The sequence below is a fragment of the Homo sapiens genome, chromosome 6, assembly GCF_000001405.40.
Source record: "Homo sapiens chromosome 6, GRCh38.p14 Primary Assembly".
Taxonomy (NCBI): Eukaryota; Metazoa; Chordata; class Mammalia; order Primates; family Hominidae; genus Homo; species Homo sapiens.
The window spans coordinates 20547801-20568711 of NC_000006.12; the positions used below are offsets into that span (position 1 = coordinate 20547801).

At 38.2% G+C, this 20911-nt stretch overlaps 1 protein-coding gene across 12 annotated transcripts in view; it reads left to right on the forward strand.

Moving 5' to 3' along the window:
* CDKAL1 (CDKAL1 threonylcarbamoyladenosine tRNA methylthiotransferase) overlaps nt 1-20911 on the forward strand; it is a 697948-nt gene that overhangs the window by 13344 nt on the left and 663693 nt on the right. For all 12 annotated transcript variants that reach the window (XM_047418949.1, XM_047418952.1, NM_017774.3 and 9 more), the window contains one exon: nt 793-905. In XM_047418949.1, the coding sequence (XP_047274905.1) occupies nt 793-905 (113 nt within the window). The remainder of the gene's footprint in view (nt 1-792; nt 906-20911) is intronic.

Below are 20911 nucleotides of genomic sequence, written 5' to 3' on the forward strand. Positions count from 1 at the left end.
TAGAGTGCTTTTAATAATGCTTTAGGATGACGGTTTTTAACTTTGATTAAGTTACTTATATCTGTAAGTTTTAAGGAAGCTACAGATTGCAACTAGTATGTAGGAATCTGTAAACAGACATACTTTTCTTTATTTGCCATTGCTGCTAGAACCACTTTCTTTCCTATTGTTATTTTTGTGTACCTTTCCAGGAGTTGAACTTAGTAAGTTAGTAGTATGAATTTAAAATGCAATTCAGAGAAAAAGGATATTTTTTTATGTGGAGTGTTAACTTTTTAGAATTCTGTGGTTATTTTATCTTGATTTTAGACTTTTGATACAACAACAGATTTTGAGTTAAGTTGGTGCGTTTAATGAATAGCTTTTGAATGGATTGTAGTGAGTTTGTTTTTTGTGTAATATATCTTAAAATCATCTAGTGGTTTTTATTTTAAAAATAACTCAATGAGGTTGGGTGTAGTGGTGGCTCATGCCTGTAATTCCAGCACTTTGGGAGACAAGGTGGGAGGATCACTTGAGCCCAGGAGTTCAAGATCAGCCTGGACAGTATAGTGGGCCACTGTCTCTACAAAAAATAAGAAAAATTAACAGGTGTGTTGGTGCATGACTGTAGTCCCAGCTACTTGGGAGGCTGAGATGGGAGGATCCCTTAGGCCTGGGAGGTTGAGGTTGCAGTGAGCTGTGGTCACACAGCTGCACTGCAGCCTGGGCAACAGAGCAAGACCCTGGATCAAAAAAAAAAAAAATCACTCAATGAAACTTACTTTTTTTTTTTTATTGATTCCTTAACAGCACTATTCCAGGCATACAGAAAATTTGGATACGAACATGGGGTTGTTCTCATAATAATTCAGATGGAGAATATATGGCTGGACAGCTAGCTGCTTATGGCTATAAAATTACAGGTAATGAGATCTATAATATATTTTATTGATTAAATTTTTCAGAATTAAGCTTTTAGAGATAAATAGCCTAGCAGTTAAAGGGTATTTTAGCATGACAGTGATTTTAAGGTGAAACAGATAGTTATTACACATTTTGTAGATAACCATGGATGTCATATTTAAAAAAACTTTTTATTTTGAAATAAGTTTAGACTTTCAGAAAAGTAGTAAAATTAGAGAGTTCACATATGCCCATCACCAAGCTTCCCTTGATATTAACATCTTACGTAGTTGTAATATCATTAATAAACCAGGAAATTAACATTAGTGCATTTCTGTTATCTAAACTGTAGATCGTATTTGAATTTTACCAGTTTTCCCATTAACTTCCTTTTTCTGTCCCAAGATCTAATGTTGGGTCCCACCTTACATTTAGTTTCATGTCCCCTTAGTTTCCTCCAATCTGTGACAGTTTCTTAATTTTTTCTTGTCTTCTGTGACCTTGACACTTCTGAAGAAAACATTTCCTTGATATTTCTGATGAAAATGATTATTATGTAGAATGTCCTTCAACTTGAATTGGTCTTTTTCTCATGATTAGAATGAGGTTCTGGGTTTTTGGCAAGCAGAGAACAGAAGCGATACTATATTTTTCTCAGTGCGTCATATCGGGGTCATGATGTCAGTGTGTCTTATACTGGTACACTAACCCATGTCTGCTAGGTTTCTTTCCAATACAGTCACTGTTTTTCTCATTACAACTAATAAACATCCTATTTCTCCTCAACCTTTGGCCTGTTAATTTTAGTATCTACTGGTGGATCTTGTCTGCAACAGTTATTACTGTGGTGTTTACTTAATGGTGATTTTCTGCTATCTTGTTTTCTTTACATTTATATTTATTTATTTATTTATTTATTTATTTATTTATTTATTTACTTTGAGATGGGGTCTCTTTGTGCCCCATTCTGGAGTGCAGTGGCACGATCTCAGCTCACTGCATCCTCTGCCTCCCAGGTTCAAGCGATTCTTCTGCCTCAGCCTCCCAAGTAGCTAGGATTACAGGCATATGCCACCATGCCTGGCTAACTTTTGTATTTTTAGTAGATACGGGGTTTCACCATGTTGGCCAGGCTAGTCTCGAACTCCTCAGCTCAAGTGATCCACTCGCCTCGGCCTCCCAAAGTGCGGGGATTACAGGTGTGAGCCACTGCGCCCAGCCTCCTCTTTACATTTATTAATTGGAGTTTTTCTCTAAGGAAGAGCTGTCCATTCTTCTCCATCTTAATTAATTAATTAAATTTTTTTTTTTTAGACAGAGTCTCGCTTTGTTGCCCAGGCTGGAGTACAGTGTTGTGATCTCGGCTCACTGCAACCTCTGCCTCCGGGGTTCAAGGGATTCTCCTGCCTCAGCCTCCCAAGTAGCTGGGATTACAGGCATGCGCCACCACACCAGGCTAATTTTTTGTATTTTTTAGAGATGGGGTTTCGCCATGGTAGCCAGGCTGGTCTAGACCTCTTGATCTCAGGTGATTTACCTGCCTTGGCCTCCCAAAGTGCTGGGATTACAGGCATGAGCCACTGCACCTGGCCCGTCTTAGTTATTTCTATCAGTACAGACTCATGGATATTTATTTTATCCTGTGGATATAGTCTGATACTATCATTATGTATTATGCTGCTTGTTGTTCCAATCTTGGCCATTAGGATCTTGTTCAGGCTGGCTCCTGTGTCTTTTCAGCATGCCGGCATCTTTTTTTTGAGCACTTCTTTATTTCCTGGCACCACAAAATGTTCTAATCTCTCATATTTTCCCTTCCCCAGTCTTGGAAGCAACCAGTTTTCCAAGGAGTCCTGATTTTTTTCATTAAGAGAATGGCATTTAGAAAAGGGGATCTGGGCAGTCAATATGCTTGCTCGTTGCCACCGTGAGGTGTCGCTGTTGTGAGGTCCTCTTGGGGGATGGAGCTAGGAATTATGTATGAATAGTAACCCACACATATGCACGCATCTGTAGCTATTTCTGTATCTATTATGTGTACTAAATGGAACTATAATTCGAATGCTTTGTGACAGGCACTGACCCGGTGCTTTATGTATGTTATCTTGCTTAGTCCTTGAGTAGGAGGAAATATTGGCACCCCTACTTTACAGTTGAGAAAGGAGAGGTTGTGTCTTTTTTTTTTTTTTTTTTTTTTTTGAGACAGAGTCTTGCTCTGTCTCCCAGGCTGGAGTGCAGTGGCGCGATCTTGGCCCACAGCAAGCTCCGCCTCACGGTTCAAGGGATTCTCCTGGCTCAGCCTCCCGAGTAGCTGGGACTTCAGGTGCCCGCCACCATGCCTGGCTAATTTTTCATATTTTTAGTAGAGACAGAGTTTCACCGTGTTAGCCAGGATGGTCTCAATCTCCTGACCTCGTGATCCACTCGCCTTGGCCTCCCAAAGTGCTGGGATTACAGGCGTGAGCCACTGTGCTCGGCCTGAGAGGTTGCGTCTTATCTTAAATCACATATGCAGTGAAGTCCTTTGTCACTTCCAAACACTGCTCCTGACCATTGTTCTGTACCTCATGGCTGCCTTTGCATGTGTAATTGGCAAGTCCTAGCTATAAGACAGCATGTAATGATTAAGGAGGATTGGAAACCTAGTCCTTGTATCACCCTTTTTCCTTCAGTAACTAAAATATCTTTTTTTTTTTTTTTGAGACGGAGTCTCGCTCTGTCACCCAGGCTGGAGTGTAGTGGTGCAATCTCAGCTCACTGCAAGCTCCGCCTCCTGGGTTCATGTCGTTCTCCTGCCTCAGCCTCTCGAGTAGCTGGGACTACAGGTGCCCACCACCATGCCTGGCTAATTTTTTTGTATTTTTTTAGTAGAGACGGGGTTTCACCGTGTTAGCCAGGATGGTCTCGATCCCTTGACCTCGTGATCCACCCGCCTCGGCCTCCCCAAGTGCTAGGATTACAGGTGTGAGCCACCGCGCCTGGCCTAAAATACCTTATGTTATTAATTTTGTATTTTTTATAACATATTCTTTAGATGGCAAAATGAGTCTTAATATTTCTGTCCTTTAAGTTAAAAATGGTCAAAATATGCTTTCAGAATTACTTCTCTATATTCATTAGTAATTTTTAGTATAATTTAGCCTGGGCTTGCCTTACCATATTCTGATGGTGTAGTTTGAGTATTAAGAAAATAGAATTTATTTATTGATTTATATTTATTTATTTTTGAGACAGGTCTCACTATGTTTGCCCAGGCTGGCCCCAAGCTCCTGGGCTCAAGTGGTCCTTCTACCTCAGCCTCCCAAGTAGCTGGGACTACAGTTGTGTGCCTGGCTAAGAAAATACCCTAAGGAAAAAAAAAAAAAAAAGGCTGGGTGTGTTGGCTCATGCCTGCTGTAATCCCAGCACTTTGGAGGCCGAGGTGAGAGAGGGTGGGAGGGTCGCTTGAGCCCAGTAGTTTGAGACCAGTGTTGGCAACATAGTGAGACCCTGGCCCTGCAAAAATATTTAAAAAGTAGCCAGGTGTGTTGGTCTTTGCCTGTAGTCCCAGTTACTTGAGAGGATGAGGTGGCAGGATCGCTTGAGCCTGAGAGGTAGAGGCTGCAGTGAGCTGTTCTGTGCACAGCACTTCAGCCTGGGCAACAGAGTGAGATCCTATCTCAAAAAAAAAAAGGCCCTGAGATAATTTCCTAAAACATAAGGAAAATCAGATATTGACTTTTTCTATGTCATATTAAATATCTAATACATTTTAATTAAATTTTAATCCATTAGCAGTTTGTGTTTGGTCTTGTAACAGTACTTGTCTGTATAAAATAACAGTCCTGGTATGTTTATACAAGAATATTAGGTTTTGTTTTACACACCTAATTTTGTTTCTTATTTGGGAATAGTTAAAAAGAGAAAATAAGGAAGTAATTACTTGAATGGGAATTTTTTTTTTTTTTTTGCTAATGTAGCATAGTCTGTTGCTTTTATATATTATATGTATTTGTATTAATTTTATAAACTATTGATTGTTCCTACTTTAGAAATTCATAGTTGTTAATTCCAGCCTGGCTTGCATGCAGCAGACTGTGGGAATACTTTCTTCACTAGTCTAGGTGCTATAGGCCCAGGAAATATAAACAGAATTAGCTTTGATAAGACATTTAAGAAGTAAATCTCTACAGATTTTATATTTAAAGATTTGATATGAATGACTTCTGGATTACCTATGCCAGTAGTCACTTTCATTACTATGGAATAATGAGAATGTATAAAGTTTATTATGGCTTACTAGTTGATAATGTTTTCGTTAATCAAATGGAAACCTAAAATATTAAATGTATAACATAAAATAGGTATAAAATATACCTTATGTATAATGTATAGGGAGTTTATTGAAAACAGTATGCAGATAAATTATATCAAAATTAGTTCTCAGTAGTCATAGATATTTTTATCATTTGGGGAAGAAAGATTATGTGGGTATGTATTTGAAATTGCTGCTTTTAAATATGCAAATTCAGGATATAATTATTCTGTGTTAATACTTCATAAGGCCAGGTGTGGTGGCTCACGCCCGTAATCCCAGCACTTAGGAGGCCGAGGTGGGCAGATCACCTGAGATCAGGAGTTTGAGACCAGCCTGGCCAATGTGGCAAAACCCCGTCTCTACTAAAAATACAAAAATTAGCCAGGTGTGGTGGCACACACCTGTAATCCCAGCTACTCGGGAGGCTGAGGCAGGAGGATTGCTTGAACCCAGGAGGCGGAGGTTGCTGTGAGCTGAGATTGCCCCACTGCATTCCAGCCTGGGTGACAGAGTGAGACACTGTCTCAAAAAAACAAACAAAAACAACAGCTTCATAAAGCGAACTGTCAGAGCAGTTTGCTGTTGTTCATTGCCTCTTTTCAAACCCTTTTTTATTTTGAAGAAAAAGGTGGCTCATAACTTTTTTGTTACGTAGTCTCACTCCGCTGCCCAGGCTGGAGTGCAGTAGCACCATCTCGGCTTACTGCAACCTCTGCCTTCTGGGTTCAAATGATTCTCCTGCCTCGGCCTCCGGAGTAGCTGGGATTACCGGTGTGCGATACCATGCCTGACTGATTCTTGTATTTTTAGTAGCGATGGGGGTTTTGCCATGTTGGCCAGACTGGTCTCTAACTCCTGGCCTCAAGCGGTCTGCCCACCTTGGCCTCCCAAAGCGCTGGGATTACAGGCATGAGCCACCGTGCTCGGCCAGCTTTTAAATGATTCTCCTGCCTCAGCCTCCTGAGTAGCTGGGATTACAGGTGTGCGGTACCATGCCTGACTAATTTTTGTATTTTTAGTAACGATGGGGTTTTGCCATGTTGGCCAGACTGGTCTAACTCCTGGCCTCAAGTGGTCTGCCCGCCTTGGCCTCCCAAAGTGCTGGGATTACAGGCATGAGCCACTGTGTTTGGCCAACTTTTAAATAAACTATTACAAAATCGTGCCTGCTTGTCTCTCATTCAAAGAATAAAACTTACTGAGGAGAAATGATGTTAGCCCCTAAAACTCAGAACAATTACTTGTATCGTGGGTACATGGATATGTGATATAATTAGATTAGTATCTTGGGAAGCAATTAAACTTTCCCTGTGAGCACCATGGCTTTTTAAAGAAATGAATGTGTTCTCCAAGTAGGCAATTTTTATAGATTAAACTTTTTTTCCAGTCATCCTTTGTTTATTGTTTTTGGATTATTTCTTTGGGAGATGTTGGTAAATTGTTTTCAGTGTGCTCATTGGTGGCAAATCTTCATATCTTGAGAATACATTTAGTATTAGAAAATGGCCACAGGTCATTTGAGGCCAAATCTGGTGAATAAAATATGTGCTATGATGTTGCACAATGCTGTTCTAGTTGAGAATAAATTTTGTCTTAAGTGATTCTGAAATCAGTTCTTAAAGAGTTCTGAAAGAGTAGCTGTGATTCTTACACGTTTTTGGTCTCTTCAGAACCTCACAATCCTTACACAATTTTGTTAAGGAATTCGTAACCACTCCCTAGCCTGATAGTGGAATAAAGGTTTAGGCTTCCAAGGTGACTGCTTTGGGAACAGCCCTCATTTAGATACAGCTGTGTTAGATACAGCTGTGTTATGTTTAGTTTGCAGCCATGCCTGGTGTGAATGAATATTGTATGTGTTTTTTGGTTAGTTGGAAAAAAAAGTCCATCCAAAGACCATTGACTGAGGCTGTGGTTCATAAACACTGAAGAGTAATGGTGTTATGTGTACGAAATATTTGTGGACATGCTTACCTAAGTCAGAATAGAGTGTTTAGCCTGGGTGCCCACATTTTCAGAGCAGTTATTTAAAAATTGCTGAGCTGTTAACATTCTTGATAGTTTCTTTGTATATGTGTTTATAGTTTATTCATTTGGCAAACATTCTCTGAACATGATATATGTTACAGAGTAGAGTGCTAAAGAGGTGTAAAGATATGAAATTGAACCAGCCATGGATTCCAGCAGACAAGAAGTTTATTCTTTTTTGGCAAAGGAAAGGCCTTCATATTCTGTGTTAAATCCTAGAAGTTGTTTTAGGAAATACTTAAGCTCATAATGTATTCTTTCACTTTTTGTAATATGGGAGGTAGGACCTGCTTTATTTTTTTATTTTTATTTATTTTTATTATTTTCCGAGATGGAGTCTTGCTCTGTTGCCCAGGCTGGAGTGCAGTGGCACGATCTGGGCTTACTGTATCCTCCGCCTCCTGAGTTCAAGCAATTCTCCTGCCTCAGCCTCCTGAGTAGCTGGGATTACAGGCATGCACCACCACGCTCAGCTAATTTTTGAATTTTTAGTGGAGACGGGGTTTCACCTTGTTGGTCAGGCTGGTCTCAAACTCCTTACCTAGTGATCTACCCATCTTGGCCTCCCAAAGTGCTGGGATTACAGGTGTGAGCCACTGTGCCCAGCCAGAGTTGTTTTTTTTTTTTTTTGAGACGGAGTCCTGCTCTTTTGCCCAGGCCAGAGTGCAGTGGCGCTATCTTAGCTCGCTGCAAGCTCCGCCTTCCAGGTTCACACCATTCTCCTGCCTCAGCCTCCCGAGTAGCTGGGACTACAGGCACCCGCCACCACGCCCGGCTAATTTTTTGTATTTTTAGTAGAGACGGGGTTTCACTGTGTTAGCCAGGATGGTCTCGATCTCTTGACCTCGTGATCCGCCCGCCTCGGCCTCCCAAAGTGCTGGGATTACAGGCATGAGCCACTGCGCCCGGCCCCAGCCAGAGTTTTAAAATATGTAACCCTTATTAGAAGCCTTTCTCGTTTTTTTTTGGTGGAAAGAAGGGGGTATATATCCCACTGCAGTCTATACCACAGGAACATGGTCAGTCTGTTAATTTCAGTGCTGAGTTGGGATTTGAAAGTAAGCTGTTTCTTGGCCGGGTGCGATCGCTGTCGCCTGTAATCCCTGCACTTTGGGCGGCCTAGGCAGGTGGATCTCCTGAGGTCAGGAGTTCGAGACCAGCCTGGCCAACATGGTGAAGCCCCGTCTTTACTAAAAATACAAAAATTAGCCTGGTATGATAGTGCATGCCTGTAATCCCAGCTACTAGGAAGGCCGAGGCAGGAGAATAGCTTGAACCTGGAGGGCAGAGGCTGCAGTGAGCTGAGATTGTGGCACTGCACTCCAGCTTGGGTAACAAGACTGAAACTCCGCCTCAAAAAAAAAAAGTAAGCTGTTTCTTCAGTTATAGATAGCAGTGTCAGCAGAGTGCTACCTGGTCCATTCCTACCTCCTTAATCATAAGTATAAAGTAATTGATCCAGTGGAACCTCAATAGGATATTTTTGGAAATTCTAGTGGATTCAATGAAAGAATCATCAACTATCTTAGTATAGGGCTGTTAACTTATACTTTCTACACATAACTCTTTAATCTAGCTTTCTTGCTCCTTTACTATCACCATGATTATTTACATTTATATAGTGTCTTACAGTTTGTAACATACATTTAGCTCTGCTAATTTTGTATAGCTTGTACCTGAAGATAAAGGAAAAACAAAATGTTAACTTAGGCCTTACAGAAATTATTTAAAAACATCCTGACATAGGCCAGGTGTGGTGACTCACACCTGTAATCCCAGCACTTTGGGAGGCTGAGGCGGGCAGATCATGAGGTCAGGAGATCGAGGCCATCCTGGCTAACACGGTGAAATCCTGTCTCTACTAAAAGTACAAAAAAATTAGCCGGGCATGGTGGTGGGCGCCTGTAGTCCCACCTACTCGGGAGGCTGAGGCAGGAGAATGGCGTGAACCTGGGAGGCGGAGCTTGCAGTGAGCTGAGATCATGCCACTGTACTCCAGCCTGGGCAACAGAAAGAACGAGTCTCCATCTCAAAAAAAAAAAATAAATAAATAAATAAATAAATAAATAAATAAATGAAAAATAAATAAATACATAAATAAATAAAAATCCTGACATTAAGGTTTCTGACTTAAAATTATATGTGTAAGTAATAAGTATTTACAGTGAAGTGTTTAGTTATATATTGAATAGAACTTTTAAAAAATGTAACCCAGGGTTTTCTTGCCAAAATTCTTTATTCTGTAGCCAAAGATGATGTCTGTTGTTAATATCTTAAGGTTCTGAAGTCTACCTGGAATTATAGTGCAAGTAAATTGTAGTCTGATCATGTGTAGTATCTGTAATGCAAGGTGTGACCATCAGCTTATAGATATAGTTGAATCTTAGCATTATTCTAAGGCTTGGAAGTTAAACATAGAATTATATACAGAGAAACAAAGCCTTTCATACATTAAAATAGAAACTATTTCTGCTGATCTGTAAAATGTCCTTCTTGTGGATATTTTCAGATAATTTTCCAAGCTTTTACTATATATATGTATACATATGTATATATATGTGAATACATATATATGTTTTATGTACTGCAAAACTGTAGTCTCAAGATCATTATTTAAAAGTACATCCTTAACATGGCTGGGCACGGTGGCTCATGCCTCTAATCCCAGCACTTTGGGAGGCTGAGGCAGGAGGATCGCCTGAGGTCAGGAGTTTGAGACCAGCCTGGCCAACATGGTGAAACCCCATCTCTACTAGAAATACAAAAATTAGCCCAGCGTGGTGGTGCATGCCTGTAATTCCAGCTACTCAGGAGGTTGAGGCATGAGAATTGCTTGAACCTGGGAGGCGGAGGTTCCAGTGAGCGGTGATCACACCACTGCACTCCAGCTTGGGTGACAGAGTGAGTGAGACTCCGTCTTAAACAAACAAACAAACAAACACATCAAACAAACAAACATCCTTAACTTGCCAGTAATTCACTCTTACTTTTCTTCCTGTGGAAATGTGCTTATGTTAGGTTATTTGCATGAACTGAGATTATTAAGTTCTAATATTTTTCTGCACATTTTGGCCACTATTATTTCATGTAGAAAGTTGAGAGAATTTTATTCAAAGCTGCCTTTGTGTGAGGATCTGATAGCATAGAGGTAGTAGAAATAGACATTTTTTAAGGGGTAACTCCCAACAAAATAAAAGCGAAGTACCAGTTGTGGCAGGGATGACAGTGGTTATTGGATCACCGAGCTGTATTCTTTCTATCAGCTCTCTCCAAGGGACTCAGCTTTCTAGGAGGGGGAGATGGAAATCTTAAACAGGTTTGATAGCTTCCCTACCTTTTATCTGCCCAGACAACAAAAATAAAACAGCTCACAGTGTTAGGATTTGGGGTGATAAATTAATTTGGAGATATCTAAATGTAAAATGAGATTTCTGGGCACATGGCAGTGCGGTCTGTATGATAAACAACTGGGGTTGAAACAGTAAGTGCATGAACTAGACAGACTCTTTTTGACCAGACCTTGTGTTATAGGTGAATGAAATTTGGGAATCCTATACTTGGAATTCTGGAATGGCTAGCCTGGGCCAGGAAAAATCACTTTGTAATCTAAGAAGGAATTGAGTTAAGAAGATTTGTTCATCACACCACATTTCCATGTTGTTGAGGAAAATAGATTGGCAGTGGTGACAAGGTCAAGGATGTGTTGTTCGAAGTTGTAGAAGATAAGCAGCAATTTAAAGGCGTTACAATACATTTTTAAGAGTGGAAATTGCATTGAAGAGTGGAAGAAAAGTCGACATAAGAGAATTAGGGCATGTTGTTTGCCCAGGCTGGTCTTGAACTCCTGAGCTCAACCAATCCACCTGCCTCGGCCTCCCAAAGTGCTGGGATTACAGGCGTGAGCCACCGTGGCTGGCCCTTAATATGTTTTAAAAGGATGTTTAATACTCTTCATTACTGTGTTATGCAATAGTTGCATGATGATTTTTCTGATCTCTACATTCTATTTTTTTTCTTTTTAAAATGGAGCACAGAAGTACTTAGTTTCTGATGTTTTTCCATCTTGGCCCAGTAATTTCCTTTTTTTTTGTTATTTTATGAAGCACAAAACTAAATATTTTTGAACCAAGAGACTACTGTGTGGTATTAATTTTGATTTTGTACTAAATTCATGTTATTTACACAAATCAAATAGTGTCAACCTTAAAATTTTTTTAAGCAATATTTTTCTTATGTTTGAGAGTTAACATGTATGGTTGATTAGAATCTTCACCTTCTAAAGGGATTAAGGAAAAACCTCGTTCACTGTTGTGAATTCTAAAATGTTTTGGTTCCAAGTCCTAGTTTTTCTTACCCTGGTATTATGTCCAAAATGAATGCCCACTAAAAGTTAGTAACTCTCATGGCAATTAAAGTATTTTGATAATGTTTATAAGTTCTTGTTCTCAATTTTGCCACTAGTAAAGATGTGGGAGAAGTTAATCTTTTTTTGTTGTCTTTCTTGTGAACTTAAAGATCATTTTTCATCCTGTTCAACCTTTGGCCTGACCTTTTCAGGTCACTAAATGTCTGGTTTGCACTTCTTGTAGCATGTGAGAAATAATACTTCAAAATTCAAGTGTAATTGTATTAATTTTTGTGAATAAACTGCTATGGAGTGCTGAAGTGTGTTAAGATGCCTAGTCTTTTCAGAATTACCGGCATTATGGTATTGAACTTAAAATATTTTATGTTTATAATATTTTAGAATTTTCATGAGTCAGATAAACATATACCCAGATTTTCAGAAACTTGACATTTGCTTAATTGCTTAATAATTCACATCAGGCTTAGAGATTTGTGAAATATTTTTGGGATAATTTATTTAGAAATAGCGTGTGTTTAAATATTAATTTTCTTTTTTAAGAAAATGGGCAGATGATAAATTACCATGAAAGCTTCATTTAAAAATCTGTTGTTAGTATTGTCTTCTTTAATTTTGGGGAGAAAAAACTTCTGAGATGTTAACAATTGAACATGTAGTGTTGGCTCTTTTTGGCCTTCAATTTAAAATTGTCATGTGTTTGGATTAAAGACATGATGTATTTTTAGCTATTGGGCAAGAGATGGCAATATTGCATTACATGATCACTGCAGTTACACTATTATAAATGAAAGTGAATTTCATGTTACAAATGTTCTTCTAATGCAATTATTAGGCGTCATTAAATTAGTTTACACTTTATTTCTTCTGATTGATTTTTTAAAAAACTTTTTAGCAGTATTTATATAAAAATTGGACAAATTGACCCTTTCAGAGGCAGTATGACCCTTTCAGAGGCAGTATGATCTTGTGCAGATACCCGTCTGCAATATGTGTGCTGAACAGATGTGAAAATTATTTAGTCACTGGCTTACTGCTTGACACCTTCATTGCTCTGTTGCCCTGACTGTGCTTGTCCTAGAATCTGGTTGTTGTCCTCTTTGTCCATAGGAGCATATGAAGGTGGGAGTTTTTGAATTTGAGGACAAACATTTGTTACCTTTAATACTACATTGCTTTCATACTCACTAAAAACTAACCTTTGCATAGTATGCAACTTGTATAGCTTATTAATCTTCAAGTCTATTAACATATAATATGGTTAAAGAGGCTTAATAATAAAACAGAATGTAGTAAACTACTGCATTTAAAAATTTCCCACCAATTCCTACTTTACCAGCATATGTTTGATGGTTAAGGGGGAAGTGATTTGAATATCTCAGGATTTGCAGAGACTTTGCTTTTACCTCTTCTTTCATTGTAGCTTGGTCATTCTCAAATTTGAGTTTCTAAGGACTTTTAAAGTGTTACGTATGCTAATCCATGTATACATTATTTTTATGATTGATTAAGGACTTTTTTGGGAAGAGTTGTGGCTATACATGATTTTTACCTAATCTAATCATTTTAGATTCAAACTCCTTGCATAAAATGTAGCTCTGCTTAGCACTGCTGCCATTAGCTTATTTCTGCTGGCTTAGAGTGACGTCTCGGCTAGTTCCTGTGTTAAGATAATTTAACTGGTTTACATTTTCTTTTTTATGATGTGTGAGTTCTTTCTGTCTTTCTCATCTTTACCTTTGACATGTCAGAGACACTGTTGCTTAGTTATTAAGAACAGACTGTCAGCCGGGCGCAGTGGCTCATGCTTGTAATCCCAGCACTTTGGGAGCCCGAGAGGGGCGGATCACCTGAGGTCAGGAGTTCGAGACCAGCCTGGCCAACATGGCGAAACCCCATCTCTACTAAAAATAAAAAAATTAGCTGGGCTTGGTGGTGCGTGCCTGTAATTCCAGCTACTGAGGAGGCTGAGGCATGAGAATCGCTTGAACCCAGGAAGTGGAGATTGCAGTGAGCTGAGATCACAACACTGCACTCCAGCCTGGGCGACAGAGCAAGACCATCTCAAAAAAGAAAAAAAAAAAAAAAAAAAAAAAAAGAACAGACTGTAGCCAGCTCTTAATATTAAGCCAGACTGTAAAACCAACTACCACCATTTATTAGCTATATAACTTTGATAATATCTCTGTGTCTTAGCATCCTTATTAAATGAAGATGGCAGTGGTAGTCCTTTCTGAAGATTAAATGAATCAGTATATGTAAAGTGGTCAACTTTGTATTTTAGTATTATAATAATTATTAGATATGATACCTGGCACAAAGTAGTAATTCAGGTGTTTTTTTGTGTGCATTAGTGAACAAGTAAAAACAAGTATATTTCTTGAATATAATGTATAGAAGTAATTTTATTCTTTTTATCTTTAAGTTAGAAGAAAAATTAAAGTATATTCCAAAGGTTAGATAAATGCAGTGTGTATGGGAATCCCTTGAGTTTTTCAGTAAAATTCTATTTGGGTGGCTGTCAAGTCCAGTCTGCATAGTCTTGACATGTCTTGGATAAGATCCTTATACTATCACTTTTCCTGTCATGGACACTACAAATTATATTGAATCAGAAATCTAATTTAATCCATTCTTATTCAATTGGAAGCAGTAATTGCTTTCAATTTAATGGGATTGGATTCAGTATTAGAAATTTTGATGTTCCTTCAAACTTAATACAGTATGGTTATATATATTTCCATTTATTTGTGTGTGTTCCTGTGCCCTCGCAGAGAGATTATCTTGGAGTATTACTTGTATTCACTTGAGTTATTTGCAACGGTTGGTAAAGAGGCATATTGTAAGGGTGGGAATGAGAGTGGCATTCTCTTTGTTTTTTTTCTTTTCTACCCATGGAATAATGAAGAGAGAAATAATAAGGGCCTTCAAAATGGGATTTCCATCCACTCAGAAATAAGGAAAGGAAATTTAGAGTCTCTGGAGAAGATCTGGAATGCTATTTACTCTTGAGGGTAGACAGCATCCAGCCCTACTAAAGATGAAAAAAGGAGAGCCTGGGGATGAAATTAAATCCATCAAAAAATTCACTGTTGGTCAGGCCTGGTGGCTCACGCCTGTAATCCCAGGCTGAGGTGGGCGGATCACTTGAGGTTAGGAGTTCCAGAAGAGCCTGACCAACATGGTGAAACCTCGTCCCTACTGAAAATACAAAAAAAATTAATCGGCTATGGTGGTGGGCGCCTGTAATCCCAGCTACTCGGGAGGCTGAGGCAGAAGAATTGCTTTGACCTGGAAGGTGGAGGCTGCAGTGAGCCAAGATCATGCCACTACACTCCAGCCTGGGCAATAGAGTGAGACTCCATCTTAAAAAAAAAAAAAAATTCATTGTTAGCATGTTATTTCAATCTTTCCCGGCAAATCATACTTAGAGACAGCTAAGTTTATCAATTCTCATGTCCTATACGGTGCTTTTTCTTGAATATACGGTAGACAAGAGGTAAGGCCTAATGGGTGAAGTAACTACATTTCTGAGTTAGTGTCTAATTGTTTTTGATCACCTAGTTCCATTTGACAGAAGATGTAGTGCTTATGGCTCATCCCATTGACTCTTTCTCTGCTTTCACTCCTTCAGCAGTGTTTTCAGTAGCCTTTTTGGTGATCTTATTGACTTGTCTTTTTTCTGATGTTCTTTTTAATTGAATTGCTATATGATATAAGATGGAATGATTGTGTTTTAACCATGATCTTCAAGTCTGCTGTGTAAAGAACTAATGATTGCAGTTTGAGTAAAATTCTTAGTAACAAGTGAATCAAAGATAAAGATAGATCATTGAGAATATTTTTTTTCTCTCCATGAGGAAGTTCATTATTAGCTAGCTTACAAAAATGAAGGAATTGTGAGAGTGTTCTGGAATAAATGTTATGGCTTAATAAAACTATTCAGAAAATCACTGAACAATACAAAAGTGGAAGACATTGAAAATGGTATATGGACACATCTAAGATCAAAATTAAGCCAGAGAAGCTTTAGGGAGAGTATTTGAAGCTTATCATTTCCATTTGTAACGGCTTTTTATATTGTGGTGTAAAATCATGTGCAAGCCATAAACAAGGGCTTTTAAAAATATTTTTGTTAATTTTTTTTTAGTTTTATAGAGATGGTGTCTCACTGTGTTGCCCAGTCTGGTCTTGAACTCCTGACCTCAACTGATCCTCCCATCTCAAATTCCCTAGTCACTGGGATTACAGGCATGAGCCACCACACCTAGCCAACGAGGGCTTTTTTTTTTTCTCATTAACATAGAGATATGAAGAATACTATATTGGATTAAAAGTTTTTGCATTTGTGAAGTGTAAGCAGCTGTGTGAATGTAGTCAATGTGTATTCTTCATTTAATAAACATAAGTATCTTTTCCTTTCCAAATTATACAAAAAATACTAAAAGCAATCAAACGATTTTTACAGAATCTTAACTAATATAAAAATTTGTTCATTGCTTATAATACAGAATAATTATATAACTTGGCTCATTATCTAAGCTTAATGAATTAATGTTGGAATGTAAAAACGAGCAATTTTAAGCCAGCGATGGCTCAATCATTTTTAACTGAGGGATTTTGGGATCAATTACTAAAATGTTCTGAGCCTCAGTGTCTTTAAAATGTAATGATGCTCTATTAATCTCATGAAATTGAAGTGAAAACAAATGTGAGGTAATATGTTTTTGGAAATATTTATAAGTTTAAAAATAGCCTGCTTGGTACTTGTGCCTGTAATGCTAGCTACTCAGGAGGCTGAGACAGGTGAATTACCTGAGGCCAGGAATTTGAGTCTGTCCTGTGCAACATAGCAAGACCCCATCTCCAAAAAAGCTAATATATTTATAAAGCTTAAATGTTATAAAATGATAAACTGATGGTTTTTGAATTCTTTGCTCTACTCACCTTTCATCTGTTAAAGATGTTTTTGTACAATTTAGCTCAGTTCCTAAATATACCAAAAGATGGCACTGTTTACCTATGTTTAATATTTTAATTTGCATTTTTTGATGAAAAAGTGTGTTGAATGTTTTATCTACAAATGTTTTAAATTGAGGTTATTTTTTTACATTTAATTTTCTGTTTTGTAAATGGATCTTTAATTCATGTAAAGTTTACTAGGACCAGGTTTCATTTTTATTTTGAAATGGTTTGGAAATTCAGATATTTAACAATCATTTTGTAGATATAAACTCCTGTGTGATCCATTGTAATTAATGATAAAACCTTGTATTAATGTGACAGCTAATGTTTCATGGAAAACCTAGTTGCTTTTGTATAACAAAAACCATTAAATTTTTTAAGCCTCTGAAAACAGTCCAGTGATTAAAACATGACAGCCACAAATAAATTATTTATGTGGCTTTTAGGTCACACTGCCCAGGTTTATTCATTTTAGAAAGTTATTTTATCTTAAAAGTACCTTTGAAAATGTAGCAAAACCTTTCATTGCTTGAATTTCCTACTCACAGTTGTGTGATGAGAGGAGAATCTAGGTCCAGGTCCTGCGAAGAGCTTCTCTGGGTGAGAAATGCAAAAATTAGATAATATGAATTTGACTTGAAGTGAGGGTTATTTATATAGCAGGATGTGGTGAATACACTTCCCATACAGTTAGACGGAAACCTCCTGATTGTTCATTTATACAGCCTATTACATCCAATGTAGTTTATGACCTAGAAAGAGAATACAAGTAGGATATTTTTTTATCCCATCAAAGCTATCTATATATATATATATTTTTAAATGAACAGCATTTGTCAGTGATTTTTACAGGGGTGAAAAAGCACAAGACAGTTCCATTACTATTATAAAATGTTTTACTTTTGTTGTGGGGGTAAGTTTAGAAGTCCAAGATATAATAATTTCAGATGTGCTTCTACTGTTTCCTTTACTTAAAAGTAGGGACTATTTTGAGGCAATATAATTTGTATGTTTCAGTTTTTATTTCTCTCTGAAAATCACTTTTTAGGGTACCATGCCTTGGAAAGAAAGTTTACATTTTTTTCCGTTAAAAACCCATCCTCCTAACTCTGAAATGACTGTCTCAGTTACTAAATGTATATAGCTTGGGGGAAGTGAAGGCACAGTTGGCAGTTAGAGGTTTGTTTTTATGTTCATGGGAGTATATGTGCTTATATTTAAATGTTCACTCTTCTAGCAGGGTTTGTTGATGTTAGTAATATGCTACATATGCGATTTGTCTGAATTGTTTAAAAATGCATAATTACAGGAGGATTTGATTATTCAGCAACAGTTCCAGTAGCTAAAGACTATCATATAGATATTTTCTTCCAGTATTTGACAGTGGTTCTGTGAGCTATGAGTAGCATAAAAAATAAAAAGAAGATACTGTGACTCTTTAATACCCTAGAGGCCGTAGTCTTAGGATATTCTTACTGTAGAGATGAAAAAACAGGGCTTCATTAACAAACTGAACTGCTATTTCACCTCTTTTAGTAGATGTGTAATTCTGTGGGTTTGGTAAATAACAAAGGCTTTTTTCCTAAATGATTTAATGCTTTCAGATTTTTGTGGGAAAATTAGAAAAAGCAAAAATGCACTCAGTGATTTTTTTTTTAAACCCCTTTGTTTCTGGACAAATGGACAAAGATAGTTAAGTGTCCCAAAAATGGTTTTAACAGGCTTCCCTCTCCAACCCCATACATACCCTGGCTGTCCATAATTCCAATTTTGGGTAGGTAGTAAAATGTGATATTAGACTACGAGTATTTTCCCTCCAAATAATACTTGTGATTAAAAGAAATGCAATCAAATAGCATTATATATTCGTTATGAAAGAAAGATCTGTCATGCAGATTTTGCCTGGTTCCTTTAGATGCCTTGTAATAATGTGCTAATTTATGCTGATGATCTTGCCTCATGACCCTTCTGTGTGGCCTAGATATGTTAATATGTTATAGCTTTTTAATTTCGATCCTCTGTGTTGGTTGAATATGCTTGTTAGTCCATAGTGCCACTCACTAGTCTGTGTCAAGAACTGAAAAAGAACAAGAAAAATGTATCTCAGAATCAATTTCTTTAAGCATGTATCAGTAATGGAGGAAATTATAAAATATACATAATTTTAATAGGACTTTATGTCTGAACATTCATTGAAAATAGTAAGCACTCTAAGTACTGTAAGCTTTTAATTAGGAAAGAGAGTTGGGTCATTGGTTTTATTAAGCAAGGGCTTATTAACATCTTTTGATTTTTTTTCTTGATTTTTGTTTAATATCAGTGAGAAAATATTACAAGAATGAAAACTAGACATCACTGGCAGTTTTTACTTTATTGCATCCATTTTTCTGTTCCCTAAACCTTGAGGGTTATGCATCTAAAGATTCCCATGGTAGGAAAATACTGTATGTGGTTCATAAATTCATGACCTTAAGGTAGCAGAGACCAAGGCCTAAAATAGATGGGAGAACTCAACTGTTTAAAAAAATTTGTTAAAATAAAAATTCCATAGAAGGAAAACAATTTATGTACCTTAAATATAATTCATCTTTATTATCTTTCCTCATCTACAGAAGCTTCTCCTTATTACTTATTTGTGTTCTTTCTACAGAGAATATACTAGGAGGGGTATTTTTCCTTATTTTTAGCTCTTGATCTGAAAGTGTAATGTTCTTTTCGCTTTGTCTTGAAATTGTTGCCTCCCCATTTTTGGGTCTCATCTGGATCTGAAAGACATTGACTGACTCAAATATCCGAAAAACTTGGTAACTTTCAAATTGGTATACGTGGCATAATTAAGAATATGTTGGTGCAAAAGTAATCGTGGTCTTTGCCATTGAAAGTAATGGCAAAGACCACGATTACTTTTGCACCAGCCTGTATTTCACAAACGTCTCTGTGCCTGTGATTACTTCTCTCTAAAATGGTTTATGGAGTAGTTGTTATGATTAATAAATGGTTGATAAATACTAGCTATTATGGTATTAAGCATTAATAAGGAAAATTCACTATTACATGTAAATGTTTTGAGTCCCTGAAATTAACTGGCAACTTAATGAAATTTGATTTAAGCACACATTTAGTCCATTTCAATCTATTTAAACGTGTTTCTCTCTTGCACATCTTTTTCTGATGGAGAGCGTGAGTTAGGAAATGAGCCAAAATAGGATATATAATGGATAGCCTCTTTTGGTAGCCAGTCAGACAGAATGGGGTGATGTCTTCATAGAAGGAATATGGAATTAGGAGTTGGAAGATTTGGGGTCTTGCTCCAAAGATCACTTTGATTGTTGGTGAACTTATTTATCTAGTCTCAGCTTTTTAATTAATTAATTAATTAATTATTTTAATTTAGAGACGAGGTTTTACTTTGTGGCCCAGGCTGGAGTGCAGTGGCATGATCATAGCTCACTGCTACTTTGAATTCCCAGGCTCAAGAGATCCTCCTGCCTCAGCCTCCTGAGTAGCTGGGACTACAGGTGTGCACCACCATGCCCAGCAAATTTTTTTTTTTTTGAGACGGAGTCTCCCTCTGTCGCCCAGGCTGGAGTGCAGTGGCGCGATCTCGGCTCACTGCAAGCTCCTCCTCCCGGGTTCACGCCATTCTCTCACCTCAGCCTCCTAAGTAGCTGGGACCACAGGCGCCTGCCACCACGCCCGGCTAATTTTTTTGTACTTTTAGTAGAGACGGGGGTTTCACCGTGGTGGCCAGGATGGTCTCCGTCTCCTGACCTCGTGATCCGCCTGCCTCTGCCTCCCAAAGCGCTGGGATTACAGGCGTGAGCCACCGTGCCCAGCACCCAGCTAATTTTTAAATTTTTTGTAGAGACGGAGTCTTGCCATTTTGCCCAGGCTCTCCTCCAACTCCTGGCCTCAAGGGATCCTCCCACTTCAGCCTCCTAAAGTGTTGGGATTCCAGGCGTAAGCCACTGTGCCTGGCCTATTCTTAGCTTTTAAATTCTCGTCTATGAAATAACGCATTTGACTGTTCCAAAAGTGTGGGGGACAGGTCATCTTCTTTCACATGCATTGTCTTACTTTGTAAGGTAAATAAAGTACTATATTAAGAAATGTGGGCCTGGCACGGTGGCTCACGCCTGTAATCCCAGCACTTTGGGAGGCCGAGGCGGGCGGATCAGAGGTCAGGAGATTGAGACCATCCTGGCTAACACGGTAAAACCCCGTCTCTACTAACAATACAAAAAAAATTAGCCGGGCGTGGTGGCGGGCGCCTGTAGTCCCAGCTGCTTGGAAGGCTGAGGCAGGAGAATGGCGTGAACCTGGGAGGCGGAGCTTGCAGTGAGCCGAGATCGCGCCACTGCACTCCAGCCTGG